General features: G+C 45.6%; 2 annotated features.

Moving 5' to 3' along the window:
* Nucleotides 15,291–15,435: an enhancer, noted in NCBI's record as "145 bp 12:116744946 sequence used in MPRA reporter constructs". NCBI's record gives its function as "activates a minimal TATA-containing promoter with rs76530201 allelic activity by MPRAs in C283T melanocytes and UACC903 melanoma cells {active_cell/tissue: C283T | UACC903}" and the evidence as "EXISTENCE:reporter gene assay evidence [ECO:0000049][PMID:36423637]".
* Nucleotide 15,363: a transcriptional cis regulatory region, noted in NCBI's record as "rs76530201 or 12:116744946 MPRA-significant variant associated with a GWAS melanoma risk locus at 12q24.21". NCBI's record gives its function as "allelic transcriptional activity by MPRAs in C283T melanocytes and UACC903 melanoma cells {active_cell/tissue: C283T | UACC903}" and the evidence as "EXISTENCE:reporter gene assay evidence [ECO:0000049][PMID:36423637]".

Genomic DNA, 15,691 nt, shown 5'->3' with positions numbered 1-15,691 from the left:
CCATAGGCAGAGTACTGTGCTAAGCAACAGAATTATAGCCATGAACAAAACACTGTCTTCAACTTCCCAACCCCTCTCAACCTGGTACTGCCAGAGAATGACACCCTAACGTGTAAAGATGGTAGTTCTCAATGGGGGAGACAACACTGCCCGCCAGGGGACTTGGACAATGTCAGGAAACATTTTTTGGTTGTCACAACTTGGGGATGGTGCTGCTGGCATTTAGTTGGTAGAGGCCAGGGGTGCTGCCAAACATCCTACAATGCACAGGACAGCCCCCGCAATAAAGATTTCTCCAGCCCAAAAGTCAGTAGTAAGGACCCTGCCCGGGCCAGGCGCAGAGACTCACACCTGTAATCCCATCACTTTGGGTGGCTGAGGCAGGAGGATCGCTTGAGTCCAGGAGTTCAAGACCAGCCTGGGCAACATAGCAAGACCCCATCTCTACCAAAAATTAAAAAATAAAAAATTAGCCATGCATGGTTAGGTTCACCGGTAGTCCCAGCTACTTGGGAGTTTGAGATGGGAGGATTTCTTGAGCCCAGGAGTTGGAAGTCGTAGGGAGCTATGATCACACCACTGCACTCCAGCTCCAGCCTGGGGGACAGAGTAAGACTTTGTCTCTAAAAGAATAAAAATTAAAACAAACAAACAAAACCACCTACCCTAAGGCATGTAAGATATGTAATGAATTAACTTCTAGCCAATGGCTCTAGTTAGGCACCATCCTTAGGTGAACAGAGAGAGTAGTGGCTCAATTCATTTTCAGTCAGGCTTTATTTTATCATGGAACTCTGATTGAGAAAGGTTGGTACCGTGGCTACTCAGAGCGTGGTCCATGGACCGGCAGCATCAGCATCCCCTGGGAACTTGTTAGAAATGCAGAGTTGGCCAGGCATGGTGGCTCACGCCTATAATCCCAGCACTTTGGGAGGTCGAGGCGGGTGGATCATTTGAGGTCAGGAGTTCGAGACCAGCCTGGCCAACATGATGAAACCCCATCTCTACTAAAAATACAAAAATTAGCCGGGTGTGGTGGTGGGCACCTATAGTCCCAGCTACTGGGGAGGCTGAGGCAAGAGAATCACTTGAGCATGGGAGGCAGAGGTTGCTGAGCCAAGATTGCACCACTGCACTCCAGCCTGGGCAACTGATCGAGACTCTGTCTAAAAAAAAAAGAAGATGCTTTGTGTCTGGAGTTCAGCGAGCGAAGAGTGATCAGAACTGAGAATGGTGAGGCCAGCAGGACATGAGGGACTTTATTCTAGGAACAAGTGGGAACGGTTCTGCTGGGCTTGATCCCCAGCCCCTTATCTGGTGTGGCACAGGCAGGGATGCTATTTGTGACCATGGGACAGGGTGAGGCTGTTCTAAGCAGCTGAGAGAACTGGTCAGACCAGGGTCGGAATCCCATGAATGGTAATTGTCCCAGGTGACCCAAGTCTGCTGTGAGACAGAGCAAGAACAATGCTGATGGGGCCACATGGCTCCCCCACCCCTCTGACTTAAGGCTACAGAGTCATTATGTCAATATATTTTTGTACAGATTTTGTAGTTTATGACACATTCTGGCAACGTTTAGATGCAATTTCAATGAGCCAGAATGTAGTACTGTAAACCCAAAACTGGATATCCCTTAAAGCTGTTAGAATCTGGCAGGAGACCTGCTCCCAATTACAAGCACAGTTTCCAACTTCACTATTCCCATCCTCAAAGCACTGAAAACAAAATCCATTTTTAATGAGGGACTACCAAACACTTTGCATTCTATTAATGTCCCCTTTGGGCTTCCAAGCACCAGCATACCTTACACACAAGGACTGACCCCTCCTAACTGATTATCAGGGCAAGGGAGCTTCTGCAGGTTTCCCTCGCCAGCACAAATATGACGACTGAATGAATGGGCATTAAGTCATTCTGTTGTCATCTTCTTCAATGTCTATCAGCACATGGATGGCCTATGGGGCCGGGTGGGGATTCAGGTTCAAAAGAAGTCATTTGCTCACACAGACAGTATACATTCAGCTGCCTGTCTCCCTAGCATACGACTCATCTTACAAACCATCCATTATCCACTCGGCAACTGGCAAATGTGAACTTGGCCAATGTCGAAGCAGAACGATGAGATTCAAGTTAGAAGAAGTGGGAGAAAGTGGGAAAGTACAAAGAGGAACCAGACGGTTTTCCAACCTGTAAGAACATGTTGTATTTACCAGGCCCAGTACAAAAGCCAAACTCTGTTCCTGTTGTTTGTCTTCTGCTCGGGGGCCTGGGTTATGTTTGGTGCAAATAGGACAGTGCACCCCCTCACTTCCATCTGATGATTGGCGTATTGTTTAGAGACGATGAGGGGTAATCTTGTGCTCTGGAGGAAGTTGGCAAGAAAGTTTAATTCTATAAAAAGAAACGCGCGGTCAGGATTCGGTTTCCTATTCTGAGTCAAGGCAGAGAAGAGAGTCAGAAATTCCAACCCAGAGGGTCAGGACGGGCTCCAGGACCTCTTGAATCACATCTGAAACATGTTCCCCCTGCTCCTTTCTCCTCCCTGTTCTTACAACTGGCCAACTGGGATTATACAACTTGCACTAATTTTATCCCACATGCGGCTGTTTCTTATTAGGAGCCTGTACCTTTTTTTTTTTTTTCCCCTGTGCCGTGTCATCTCTCTTCAATCAGGTGAGTAACTCCACTTCTTAACAGGGAGATTCTGTTCATTTTCTTGGCTGGACTCAAGAAATGTGCACTTAACTTTTTCTTAAAGTGTGAACGTTCATGTTTTTAACCCCGTCATCTGCCTTTCTCTCGCCTAAGTCTTGCTTTCCCCATTCTGAAAAGCTCTACTCAACCAGCAACCAACGGAAAAGTGAACATTGGGTGTCAATCAACAGAATGATTTTGGTCGCCCAATACCCAACAACTGTTTCTAGAGGGTTTTGTTTTCTCCCCCACCAAACTGGTGCTTTTTTTTTTTTTTAACTGAATTCACCAGATGTTTTGGCAGTGGATAAAACCTGGCTTTCCTGTCTTCCAAGTGGATGAAATTGGATCCAAATCACAGCACGTTGCCTCCGCTTCACCAACCAAGTACTTAATGGTTGTTGAGAATAATGCAAAGATTGAGATCAATTTTTCTTTAGGCGTCGGGACTATCGGATCCAGGTGTTAGCATTTTCTGGCCTTCCGGGCCTTGCAGTGTTTCTAGGGAAACCCCAGATCCATGAGTACGAGTGGGTTTCCCTACTGTTACCTTTCTTCATCATTTCGATTTTTCTGGCTGTGTTTCAGAAACTGCAAAACCGCACCCCGAAACCCCTCTGTGGAGGGTGAAATGCAACAGTGGCACACGCACGATTCAATCACGTCTGGAGGAAAACTGCTATGCAATTCCTATTCCGTCTTTGCAACTCCAGGCCTCCCCGAGCCAGAGGGAGAAGCGGGACTCCTTCGTCGGCCTCCAGTCCCTCTCTCCCCCATGCCCTGTTTGGCTTAGCACAAGCCTGAGCGTGCCATGCCACCTCGCCAGACCTTGCCAAAATCCGTGAATGGCACAGAACGCACATTAAACAGATGGAATGCAACATACATGTAAAGAAATAAGAGCTTTGCCAGGAAAGTTGGCAGCGGCTCCAGAATGCTTTAAACAGTGTGGGGAGGGGGGGTAGGGAGAGGGAGCCCAGAGTCGGCGAGGCTGCCTCCTTCTCCAGAGCTGTTTCTTTTACAGCCATGACCTGTTTTGCCAGTCAAGATAAATACCGTTTTAAATGCCCCCTTTTACTGGCTCCTGGTACCTTGGCAATGCAGTCTGAAATATGACCTGCTCTCATTGGAAAAATGTCCTTTTAAGTGAGTGGAAAGGAGGTACTCCTTCTAACCAGTCAGTAGGAAGGTTGTGGATGGCGGAGCGCTCTGAACACAGACACACTCGGGAAGTAGATGGAACCGCCATGGAGTCAGTACTGCTCGTTTATAAGCCACTGCCTTTAGAAAGTTCGTCGTAGACACAGAGTCACGACTGGGGAGCGCGGAGCTCAATGTCTAGGCTTTTCTGGCACCTTTGGCTTCAGCAGGAACAGTGAAAGGGCAGCCCAGGACGGCTGGCTATTTCACAAGGCACCTCGGAACAGCCACGCCTTTCCTTCAGAAGAAGAAAAAGAACGGTGCTAACCAGGTGCGGCCACAGTTCAACCCACTCAGGCCATTTAGCTTTGCCAGTCCCCACAGTCACAGGACGGTCGGTAAACACGGCAGCCGCTTGCCGCACGCGTGAGAAACTAGATGGATCTACCCGAAAGGTTTGCCATCACAGCAGACGTTCATGAAACAATTTCTGCATGCCAGGTACATACCAGGCATAGCTAATGAATCATCCCCCTATCTCCCGAGGTAGGCAAAGCACTACCCCTGTTTCCCATACGAAGAACCTGAGGCTCAGAGAGGTTGAGTAACTTGTCCAAGATTTCACAGCTATTCAAGGGGAAGCTGGAATTTGAACACAAGTCTGTCTAGTTGGCTGGGTGCAGTGGCTCACGCCTATAATCCCAGCACTTTGGGAGGCCAAGGCAGGCGGATCACTTGAGGTCAGGAGTTCGAGACCAGCCTGGCCAACATGGTAAAACCTCATCTCTACTAAAAATACAAAAACCAGCTGGGTGTGGTGGAGTGCGTCTGTAATCCCAGCTACTTGGGAGGCTGAGAAGGAGAATCGCTTGAATCTGGGAGGCAGGGGTTGCAGTGAGCCAAGGTCGAGCCACTGCACTTCAGCCTGAGCAAGAGAGTGAGATTGTGTCCAGAAAAAAAAAAAAAAAAAAGTCTGTCTACTCTAAATGATTAGATTGTCAGGGCCCCATGCTGGCTTCTACCAAAATGCTCAAGGCACACATGTTACAGAATCATCTTCTTCATCCTTAGAACTGCCCAGTATAATCAAGTGGTTGCATTCTCCATTAAAGATGCTATAGGATGTATCAGTTTCCTGGGGCTTCTGTCACAAATTATCACAAACTAGGTGACTTAAAACAACAGACATTTATTCTCTCACAGCTCTGGAGTCCAGAAGTCTAAAATCAAGGCATCAGCATGGCCGTTCTCCCTCCAAAGGGTCTAGAAGAAGCCTTCCTTGCCTCTTCCAGCTTTGGTGGTTGCTGGCTTCTTTGATTTGTGGCTGCATGTCTCTCAACTTTGCCTCCATGGCCTTCGCCTTTGTGCGTGTCTTCCCCCCTTATAGTCTCTTATAAAGGCATCTCTATTGGATTTAAGGCTGATCTTAATCCAAGATGGTCTCATCTCAAGCTCCTTAATTAATCATACCTGTAAATATCGTTTTCCTTTCCTTTCCTTTTGTTTTAGAGATGGGGTCTTACTCTGTCACCGGGGCTGGAGTGCAGTGGTGCCATCAAGGCTCACTGCAGCCTAAACCTCCCAGGATCAAGCTATCCTCCTGCTTCAGCCTCCTGAGTAGCCAGGACCACAGGCATGCACCACCATGCCCAGCTAACCTTTTTATTTTTTGTAGGGATGGGTTCTTCTTATGTTCCCCAGGCTGGTCTCAAACTCCTGGCCTCAAGCAGTCCTCCTGCCTCAGTCTCCCAAAGTGCTGAGATTACAGGTGTGAGCCACCAGGCTTGGCCTCTTTTTTCTGAATAAAGTCACATCCCCAGGTTCTAGGAATTTGAACCTGAATCTTTTGGGAGGCCATTTTTCAGTCTACCGTGCAGAAAGATGCCAGTGGCACATGAGGTGATTCATTCAATAAGAGTCTTTCCAATTTTGCAGATCTGCAGGGATCATTATAGAATTAAAAAAATATTTCCACCATTCCATATCCTTTTTTGAAACCAGTGAGTATCAAACCAATATTTAAGAAACTCTCACCAAATCCTGCCACTTAGTAAGTGTCACATAGTCCTCACAGGTACCCTGCAACAGAGATACTGTTCTTCCTCACTGGACAGGGGAAGAAAATAAAACTAAGAGAGGAAGAGAGGTTAAGAGCCTTGCCTAAGATCTCACAGCCAGGAATGGGTAAATGTGGGATTGAACTTTCAGTCTTTCAGGCTCTGGAGTCTTGAGTTTTTATGCAGGATGCTAAAATGCCTTTTCTTGGAAATGTAGGACTTGGTTAAGAAGCTGAGGTTTGGAAGGAAGTGGAGGTCTGGGGTGATGGGACAATTTATGCTATGTTTAGCCAAGAATTATTCCTGCACAGAATTTCCAGAAAGGCTGAAAGCAGGCTTTTGATTGGGAAGGTAATCCACAAGTTGGTTCACCTGATCACCTGATGAAGCTGAGGATCACTCCCCTCAGCACTCGTTGTCTCTCTCTCTCTCTGTCTCCCTCTCCCTCTTTCTCTCTCTCTCTCATGGCTGAAACTGGTACCTTCCAGCAGAGACACCAGGAAGTTGGAGGCAAATGAGAAAATATCCATTTTCACTGTCTCACAGATTTCAGTTCAGTAACATCTGCCAGTCATATATTCTTATCACAGGGATATTTCATTTTTGCTGTGCAATCATCTGACTCAAGAGACTGGGTAGATGGAAGGTAAAACCAAAGATGCTTACTTGAGGATGGCTGCAAATGGCAGGTGACTTCTCCTGGCATCTGGCGACCACATCCACCGATTCAGGCTGCATGGTGAACAAGATACAATTTCTCTTACAGTCAGAGCTGCTGAGGGCTAAGTGCTTAGAGCTCCTCAGCAACCCTGTGAAGTCAGATCAATAATGACCTGATCTGGTACTCAGGGAGGCCAAGTCACACACCCAGAACTGACGAACGGCAAGCGCTAGAATCCCTCCAGGTTGCCTGAGTTCGGAGTCTGAGATCTTAGTTGCTGCAATACACTCTCTCCAAGCCCATGTCTCAAGAATTGCCACTGTTTCAATTAAAGTAAATATAGATAAAGCAAAGAAGAAATTCACTGATTCATCCATTCATTCATCCATTTCTATAGTATCTGCGCTACGTGCCAGGAAGGCCAACAGGAAAATCCCTTCATCCATGTGTGTGCCCCTGAGTGTGTGTGTGCCAGGCACCTTGCCCTACTCATAGTCCCTACCTTCCAGAGATTAAGACTGGAATGTATATCAATTAATCCAGGACAGTATGGCAAATGCAAGAGAGACCAAGGAAGAGACGGAGCCGCCAAGGATTCCTGGAGAAGACACTTGAGTTGAGATTTGAAGGAAGAGGTAGATGTCAGCCAGAGAAGGAAGGGCTGGCCCACATTTTATTTATTTATTGAGACAGAGTCTCGCTCTATTGACCAGGCTGGAGTGCAGTGGCGTGACCTCAGCTCACTGCAACCTCTACCTCCCGGGTTTAAGAAATCCTCCCACCTCAGCCTCTCAAGTAGCTGGGACTGCAGGTGTGCACCACCACACCTAGCTAATTTTTGTATTTTTAGTAGACGTGGGGTTTCACCATGTTGGCCAGGCTTGTCTCGATCTCCTGACCCCAGGTGATCCACCTGCCTCAGCTTCCCAAAGTGCTGGGATTATAGGCGTGAGCCACTGCGCCTGGCCTGGCCCGGCCCACATTTTAGGTGGTGGGTTGATGTTCAGCAGGCTCACGCCAATGTGACTACGCCAGGTTAAATATTTGATCACCTCCATATTGATTGGTAAACAGTGAGGGCCCAGAGCCCACCGAGCGGCCCCCTCCCTACCTCCTCTCTCTTGGATCTCTGCCCACTTCCCCACGATGCAGACACTAAAGGGTTAACATTTGGCACAGCAAGAGGCTCTGGGACTCTGCCCCATTCCTGCTCTTTAGTCCCTTTCAGTTGGTGCTGGTGCCCTACAGGGTGACACGTATTTTGATTTTTTTAACTCCTGGGCTGGGGAGCAGTTGAGTAAGACGGCACGTAGGCCTGGGACATGCTGGCAGTCACCATGGCTGGAAAACAGGAAGCCACAGAAGTGCTGGAGGTGAGGCTGCAAGACTCAGAATGAGCCCCTGGGGAAGGACCTTGTGTGACATATGAGGGAGAATAGACTACCTTGAGGATAACGTGGAGATATTGGGGTTTTTGTAAGCATGCTATTTTTTATTGATGTATAATTATACATAGTATAACAGACTCTTCTTAAGTCTACAGTTTGATGAGTCTTGACGGGTGTATACCCCTGTGTGGCCACCACCCCTCTACAGGTGTAGGTAGAGAACATTTCCATTCCTCCAGAAACTTCCCTCTGCCCCTTCCATGGGAGATGTTAAGCAGGGGAGTGGCATGGCTACACTTTGCGTTTTTCAAGTTTGCATTTGGAAAATTGTTTTGCCCACTTCTTGAGCCCCTCTTGCGTGCTGCACACTGTTCTAGCTGTAGAGAAGAGGGATGGGTCACATTCTGGTGGGGGAGCTCCCTTTTGGGGAAAGGACAAAGGCAGTCAATGGTGTGCAGAACCAGCTTGATGGGCACGCACCCTGTGCAATCACAGGTGCGCCCAGGCTTGGTTTAATGTTCTGCCATCGCCATGTTTAAATTCTTAATAGTTTTTGAACGAGGGGCTCTGTGTTTTTATTTTGCACTGGGCCCCATGAACAAAGCAGCTGGGCCTGATGTTCCAAAGGAAATTAACAGGAGCCGAGAGAAAGAGAGGATATAGAGGGTCTTAAAGAGAAGACCCTCTAGGGAGGAACGAGGAAAGAAGTCAGCCAGGTGACGAGTGAAGGTTGCAAGAAGGATTCGCTTCCCTCAAATTCTCTGTTTAGCGATAAGCAAAAGATAGTGGAGACATTTCATATCTGCCGCTGTTTTTATAACTCTACCCACAGCCCCAGTAAATGTATATGGGCTCAATTAATTACAATGACTAATGCATCTGACAAGCCAAATATTAGCTCGCGAGAACTGAGTACACTTTTAAGTATTAAGTACAGATACAAATAATTAACAATAAGCTCGCTGGCGTTATTATCTTCTAATTAACTATAGAAAAAAAATTCAAACCTTAATCCAGAGCAAAATGAAAACAAAAGGAAAGCGAGACCTCTGTCAGCTTTCGAAACGGAGGCGGTGTAAGGAAGAGAGATAGGGCTCGGTGGATTTTCATCTGCGCTGATGATGAATTTCATCAGCCTTCCTTTGCTGACGTCAAAGCCAAAATAAGTGCCTTGGTCTGTGTTTCTCCCTGCTGGGGCCAGATGTCCAATGGGAAGAGTTTGGCAGAACATAAACTGGAGGTCTGATTACTAGAGGCAGGAGGAGCAAGGTTGGCATTGCCCTGGAGAAATCCATCTCTATCATCCTCAGACAGACCGCTTGTCGCTGGAATTTGGAACAGAGAGAAGTTGAGTTGAAAGGAATCCAATCGTCTCTTGGCAATTGGGTCTTCTTCCTGAAAGGAATCCTGAAGTTGGGCAGTTCACCTAAAAACCTGAAACTAAATACCTGAGCTGCCATGATATTATTGCCAGTAAATATTTCTAAAGCCAGGGAATCTAGAAACAGTTTTCCTGACTGATGTTGCTTTCCATATACTATTAGGCTGGTTCAAAAGCGACTGCAGTTTTGCCATTACTTTTAATGCAAAACTGCAATTGCTTTTTTACCAACCTAATACAAAAGAAGATGTATTTGCAATTATCCGAAAAACTTGGTTCTAAAGTCTCTAGTTTGGTCTAAATGATGTGGCTTTGCTGCTTTCGGCTCCCTGTTTCTCTGGATACTGCGAAAGCCCTTTTCGGCGTTGTGTGAACGCCTTGTTACCTTTGATGGCCTTTGTAACTCACTGCAAACCACATGGGAACCTTAATAGCTTCTCCCTTGCTCAGTTTCTTTTTAGCTTCTGATCCGCTCCTGCAGGGGAACACACTATACCCACCTTGATCATAATTGTGGCTGCCATTATTCTGTACTATCTACATGCAGGCTCTGTGCGCAGAGCTCTGCCCCTGTTATCTTATTTAATCCTCCCAACAGGAAACTGTGTTGGCTCTACCTGCAGAATGTATTCAGAACCCGACCAGTTCTCAGCACCTCCATGCCACCTTACTGGTCCAAGCTCTCCCATCTTCTCTCACCTGGATGATTGCGGGAGGCTCCTCACTGGCCTCCCTGCTGCTGCCCTTGTCTGTCTGTGGTCTATTTTTCAACACAGCAGACTGAATGATGCATATGAAATACAAGTCAGCTCAGGTCATAAACCTCCGAGGGCTCCCCATCTGGCTCAAAGTTGAATCCAAAACTCCTCCTTTCGCCCTTGCGCGCACTGGTTCAGGCACTCTGGTCTCTTTGCGTTTTCATGAACAGGGCCAAACATTCCTGCCTCAGGGCCTGTGGACTCCCTGTTCCTTACCCACAAGATACCCACGTGACTTATGCCCTTTCTTCCTCTAGGCTTTGTTCAAATGTCACCTTCTTAGTGGAGCCTATCGTGACCGTGCTTTTCAAACTTCAGTCTTTAGGCCAGGCGCGGTGGTTCACGCCTGTCATCCCAGCACTCTGGGAGGCCAAAGCAGGAGGATCACTTGAGCCCAGGAGTTCAAGACCACCTTGGGCAGCATGGCAAAACCCCATCTCTACCATAAATAAAGAAATAGCTGGGCATGGTGGCACACATCAAGACCCCATCTCTACCATCAATCAATCAATAAATCCATAAATAAAATAAATAGCTGGGTATGGTGGCACATGCCAAGACCCCATCTCTGCCATAAATAAATAAATAAATAGCTGGGCATGGTGGCACACACCTGTAGTCCCAGCTACTCAGGAGGCTACAGTCAGGGGATCCCTTGAGCCCAGGAGTTCATGCAGCGAGCCGTGATTGTGCTACCGCACTCCAGCCTGGGCAACAGAGCAAGACCCTGTCTCTAAAAAATAAATAAATAAGAAAATCCAGCCTTTCCCTTGGCCCTCCTGTTCTACCTTTTCTTATAAAACATATCACCATCTATCTTATAATTACTTACTATGTTTACTGTTGTTTGTTTTAGTAACCACTAAGAATAGCATGGGGCACACCATAGGTATACAATAAATATTTACTGAATGAATGAATAAATGAATGACCCATGAAGTATGTCCTATAATCAGTTCCACATTACAGAGGAAGAAACTGAGGGCTCATAAGGGTGTACCTAACCCTTTACCTTTCCTAAGGTAAGTTAATTACTGGCAGAGTTGGGCTTCAGCCCAGGTCCTACATCCAAAGCAACTTACCTGCTATGTTCGCAGCAATTATAAGTTAGGCCCACTCTTTATCATAGGTTACTGTCCAGTAAAAGCCCATTTCAAGACCCTGCTTACCTTGCAAGACCTGGTCTGACATTTGACGAATTCAGTGTTAATGCCCATTGTGCTAGGAATCATCAGAAGTGTTGATTTTCCACAAGTGCAAAACAGGATTTTTACATGAGAAATTCTGAATTAATCATTTAATTAATGTATTTTGTTTATTGATTTATTTTGTTTGAGACAGGGTCTCACTTTGTCATTCAGGCTGGAGTGCAGTGGTGCAATCATGGCTCACTGCAGCCTCAACCTCCCAGGCTCAGGTGATCCTCCTACCTCAGCCTCCTGAGGAGCTGGGAGTACAGGCATGCACCGTCATGCCCAGCTAATTTTTGTACTTTTTCTAGAGACGGGGTCTTGTCACATTGCCCAGGCTGGTCTCAAACTCCTGGACTCAAGTGATCTGCCCACCTTAGCCTCCCAAAGTGCTGGGATTACAGGCGTAAGACACTGCACCCAGCCCTAATTAATGTATTTTGACTAACAGCTTCCCCAAATTCACATGTAATAGAAATATTTGGTGCTCTGGGACAAATAGGTGATAGAGGGAAAAAAAGGAAATATTTGGAATACTCTAAAAGAAGTGGAATTTTAGCAGATGATTTTTTAAGTATAGATAAGATAATTACATAGCAATTATCTTCATCTATGTACTTAACTACCTAGACTCAGGGGACATAATCGAGAAACTCAGGGGAAGTTTTTCCCACTCACTGCATGTCCTCTATGGTCAGAAGACGAGGCTTCTGGAACTTTAAAGGCAAATCTTAATAAATTACACATAAAATTACCATAGAACCTCACAGTTCCACTCCTCCATATACACCCCAAAGAACTGAAAACAGGTGTTCAAACAAAAACTCATACAGGAATATTCATAGCAGAATTACTCATGGTAACTAAAAGATAAAAACATCAAAAATGTCCATCACATGATGAACGGATCAACAAATTGTGGTCTATCCATGCAATGGAATATTATTCAGCCATAAAAAGGAATGAAGCGCAGATACATGCTACAGCATGGATGAGGCTTGAAAACATGGTGCTAAGTGAAAGAAGCCAGACACAAAAGGCCACATGTTATATAATTTCATTTATATGAAATGTGCATGACAGCCCAAACCATAGAGACAGACAGCAGTTTAGTGATTTTCAGCAGCTGCAGTACGGAAGGATTGGGGAGTGACTGTTTAATGGTCACAAGGTTTCTGTTTGGGATGATGAGAAAGTTATGGAATGAGATAGTGCTTATGGTTGCTCAACATTGCCAATGTACTGAATGCCAATAAATCACATAATTTAAAGTGGTACATTTTATGTTATGTGTATTTTCCCAATTTTTTAAAAAAGTAAATCTTTAAATTCTGGCCTTGGCCCCAGGAAGTTTGAACTTGGTTCTGATTTGGTAGGCAGGTAGCTAAGGATTAAGTCCCTTCATGGTGATTATTGACTAGAAAGAGCTATAAAGTATCAGACTAGGCTGTGTAACAGACTTGCATGTGTGGCTAGATTATATTGCCAGCCCTGTGGAGTCAAGGCCTGATCCTCCCTTTCCTCAGAAATGGTGGTACATCTAGTACAATGCTATTCTGACAAGCTGAACAGCCAATTTCTTCCTTTCTTTTTTTTTTATTACCAAAGCCATATGCCCTGTTGTAAAACATCTAAACAATATAGAAGGGACATCTCCCCTCTTACCATTTCTATCCTTGGGTTTAATCACCACCATCTACAACCTGGTGTGTATCCTTTCAGACCTTTCTCTACTCATGTACGAAGATCTACATATAAATGTGCATATCATTGTTGAAGTTTTGGGGTTTTTTACTAAAATGAACTCATACTATATATAGTGCTACAACTACATATACTCTACATGATATATATATATATATGGCTTCAACTTGCTTTTTTTAAAACTCAACACTATATCAGAAAAAGCTTTCCACAGGAATACGTACAGATTATCACTTTCTTCTTAATGGCTACAAAGCATGGATATATGACCATTTATTTAACCAGTCCACTCTTGTCAGATAATTATCTTGCCTCCAATTTTTCACCATCGCAAGCCAGGCTGTGAGGAACACCCTGTTCATATATTCTTGCATACTGGTGGGAGTTTTTCTGTGGGAGTGATTCCTAGAAGTGAAATTGCTGGGCTGAAGTAAAATTCTTTCTTTTCTTTGACTTTTTAACAGCACGTCAGTTCGGGACACAAACGTATATTGTCTCTGGCCTCAGGACAAAAAAGCTAGAACTTTGAGCTTGACATGGGGCTTTGCTTAACTCGGCATTCACCCTGCATCCTGCAACGATAGCTATTTTCATTCATTTTATAAGTTCGTTGTCTCCAGATTGACTCCAGCAGAGGGAAAAGAAATCAGGTCCTTCTGTGCCATTCTTCAAACATTTAGAGGAAATTGATTTTCCACATGGGCTGTAGCCAAGCAAGGGATGCGCCGGCACAGAAGTGCCCGTGACAGGCTATTACTACTAACACTTGCAACAATTAGGCTCAACCCAACTTGAGATATTTTATTAGTGAGTGTAATTCCTCATCAGGCTAATATTGCAAATTGCCAAAATCAGCAGCAATTCTAAAATAGGATTTCCTTCATAATCCCTTTTAAAGGGACCTTGTGGAGCCTTGAAGTGCTTGGAAAAAGAAAGCTTTTATTCTCCAAGCAAGGACAAAAGGCTGCTGGTCCAAGAAGCTGATAGCTTGCCTTACCTTTCTGCTCTTACCTTTCTTATGTGCTTTCTCATGGCATCCAAGGGGATGCTTTCATCTGCAAAGAGCAGAAATGCAGTTTCAAACTGGCTTCAATAATACAGTAATGTCATGTGCCCCTTTAACCTAGAAATCTAAAGGTGAGGTGGGTTTAGAGTTGGTTGACTCGACGTCTCAACAGTGACACCGGGGATTGGGTTTTTTCCCAAAGTGATTAAGAAGACTGGTTCCAAAGCCAGTATGATATTGAATAGCTAACCTCTTGATAGCTATGTGACTTTGAACAAATTGCATAACGTCTCTGAGCCTCAGCTTTCTCATTTGTGAAAAACAGGATAATAATAACACAACAACTTATAGGGTTTTTGTGAGTATGTTCAAGGCTCGCTGCAGCCTTAACTCCTGGGCTTACATGATCCTCCCGCCTCAGCCTCCAAAGTAGCTGGGATGACCACACCCAGATGATTTTTTATTTTAATGCAGAGACAGGGTCTCACTATGTTGCGCAGGCTGGTCTCATACTCTTGGGCTCAAGCGGTCCTCTCGCCTTGGGGTCCCAAAGTTGCTGGGATTACAGGTATGAGCCACCACCATGGCCAGCCTGATTTTTATCTAACCATTTAAAAAATGCAAAAACTAGTTAATAGGCCATGAAAACAGGCAAGGCCATCTCCCAAGCTAAAGGAAATCAGACATTTAGAATACTCTCTGGCAAGTTCTAAATGCTCAATAAATGTCTGTGGCTTTTGTTATTACTACCATCACTATCATCCACTCTGCACTTCCTCTCTCCGTATTGGCTTCTTTGCCAGTCTGGTAGCAAGACTATCAGACTGCAGCTGCAGCACTTTAAGGAGCGACATCCAGAGAAAGGAGCACTGGAGTGGCATCCAGAGAAAGTGGCATCCGGAGAAAGGAGAAAAAACCTCGGCCGGGTGCAGTGGCTCACACCTGTTATCCCAGCACTTTGAGAGGCCCAGGCGGGTGGATCACTTGAGGTCAGGAGTTTGAGACCAGACTGGCCAATATAGTGAAACCCCGTCTTTACTAAAAATACAAAAAGTAGCTGGGTGTAGTGGCACATGCTTGTAATCCCAGCTGGGATCTGGAGGCTGAGGCAGGAGAATCACTTGAACCTGGGAGGCGGAGGTTGCAGTGAGCCGAGATCACACCACTGCCCTCCAACCTGGGTGACAGAGTGAAACTCTACCTCAAAAAAGTATATAGATAGATAGATAGATAGATAGATAGATAGATAGATCTGTCTATATATATATATCTTCCAGGGATACTTTATTAGGAGCCAGATCGCTCCCTATCTGACATATGTCCCCCACCTCAGTGACCAGAATGGGTCACATGACCTCTACCAGAACCAATCACTAGCAAGGGGAAGGATTATTTTTGACCAATCAGGCCCACTCCTGCAGCTGAGGGCAGAGTTAGTTTGCCCTGAGTCCCATTCTGAATGGGGACTGGGTGAATGCCTGACCCAAACAGGGTTTTCGTTTGTTTGGTTGGGTTTTAATTTTTAGGATCTTGCTCTGTCGCCCAGGCTGGAGTGCAATGGTGTGATCATGGCTTACTGCAGCCTCAACTTCCTGGGATCCATTGATCCTCCCACTTTGGCTTCCCAAAGTCCTGGGATTACAGGCATGAGCCGAAGTGTCTGGCTTCAAACAGGGTTTCTGTTAGGACAGGAAGTGGTAAGGCATGGA

Source organism: Homo sapiens, chromosome 12 (genome assembly GCF_000001405.40).
Source record: "Homo sapiens chromosome 12, GRCh38.p14 Primary Assembly".
NCBI classification, from domain to species: domain Eukaryota; kingdom Metazoa; phylum Chordata; class Mammalia; order Primates; family Hominidae; genus Homo; species Homo sapiens.
This window is presented reverse-complemented; position numbering and strand designations above follow the sequence as displayed.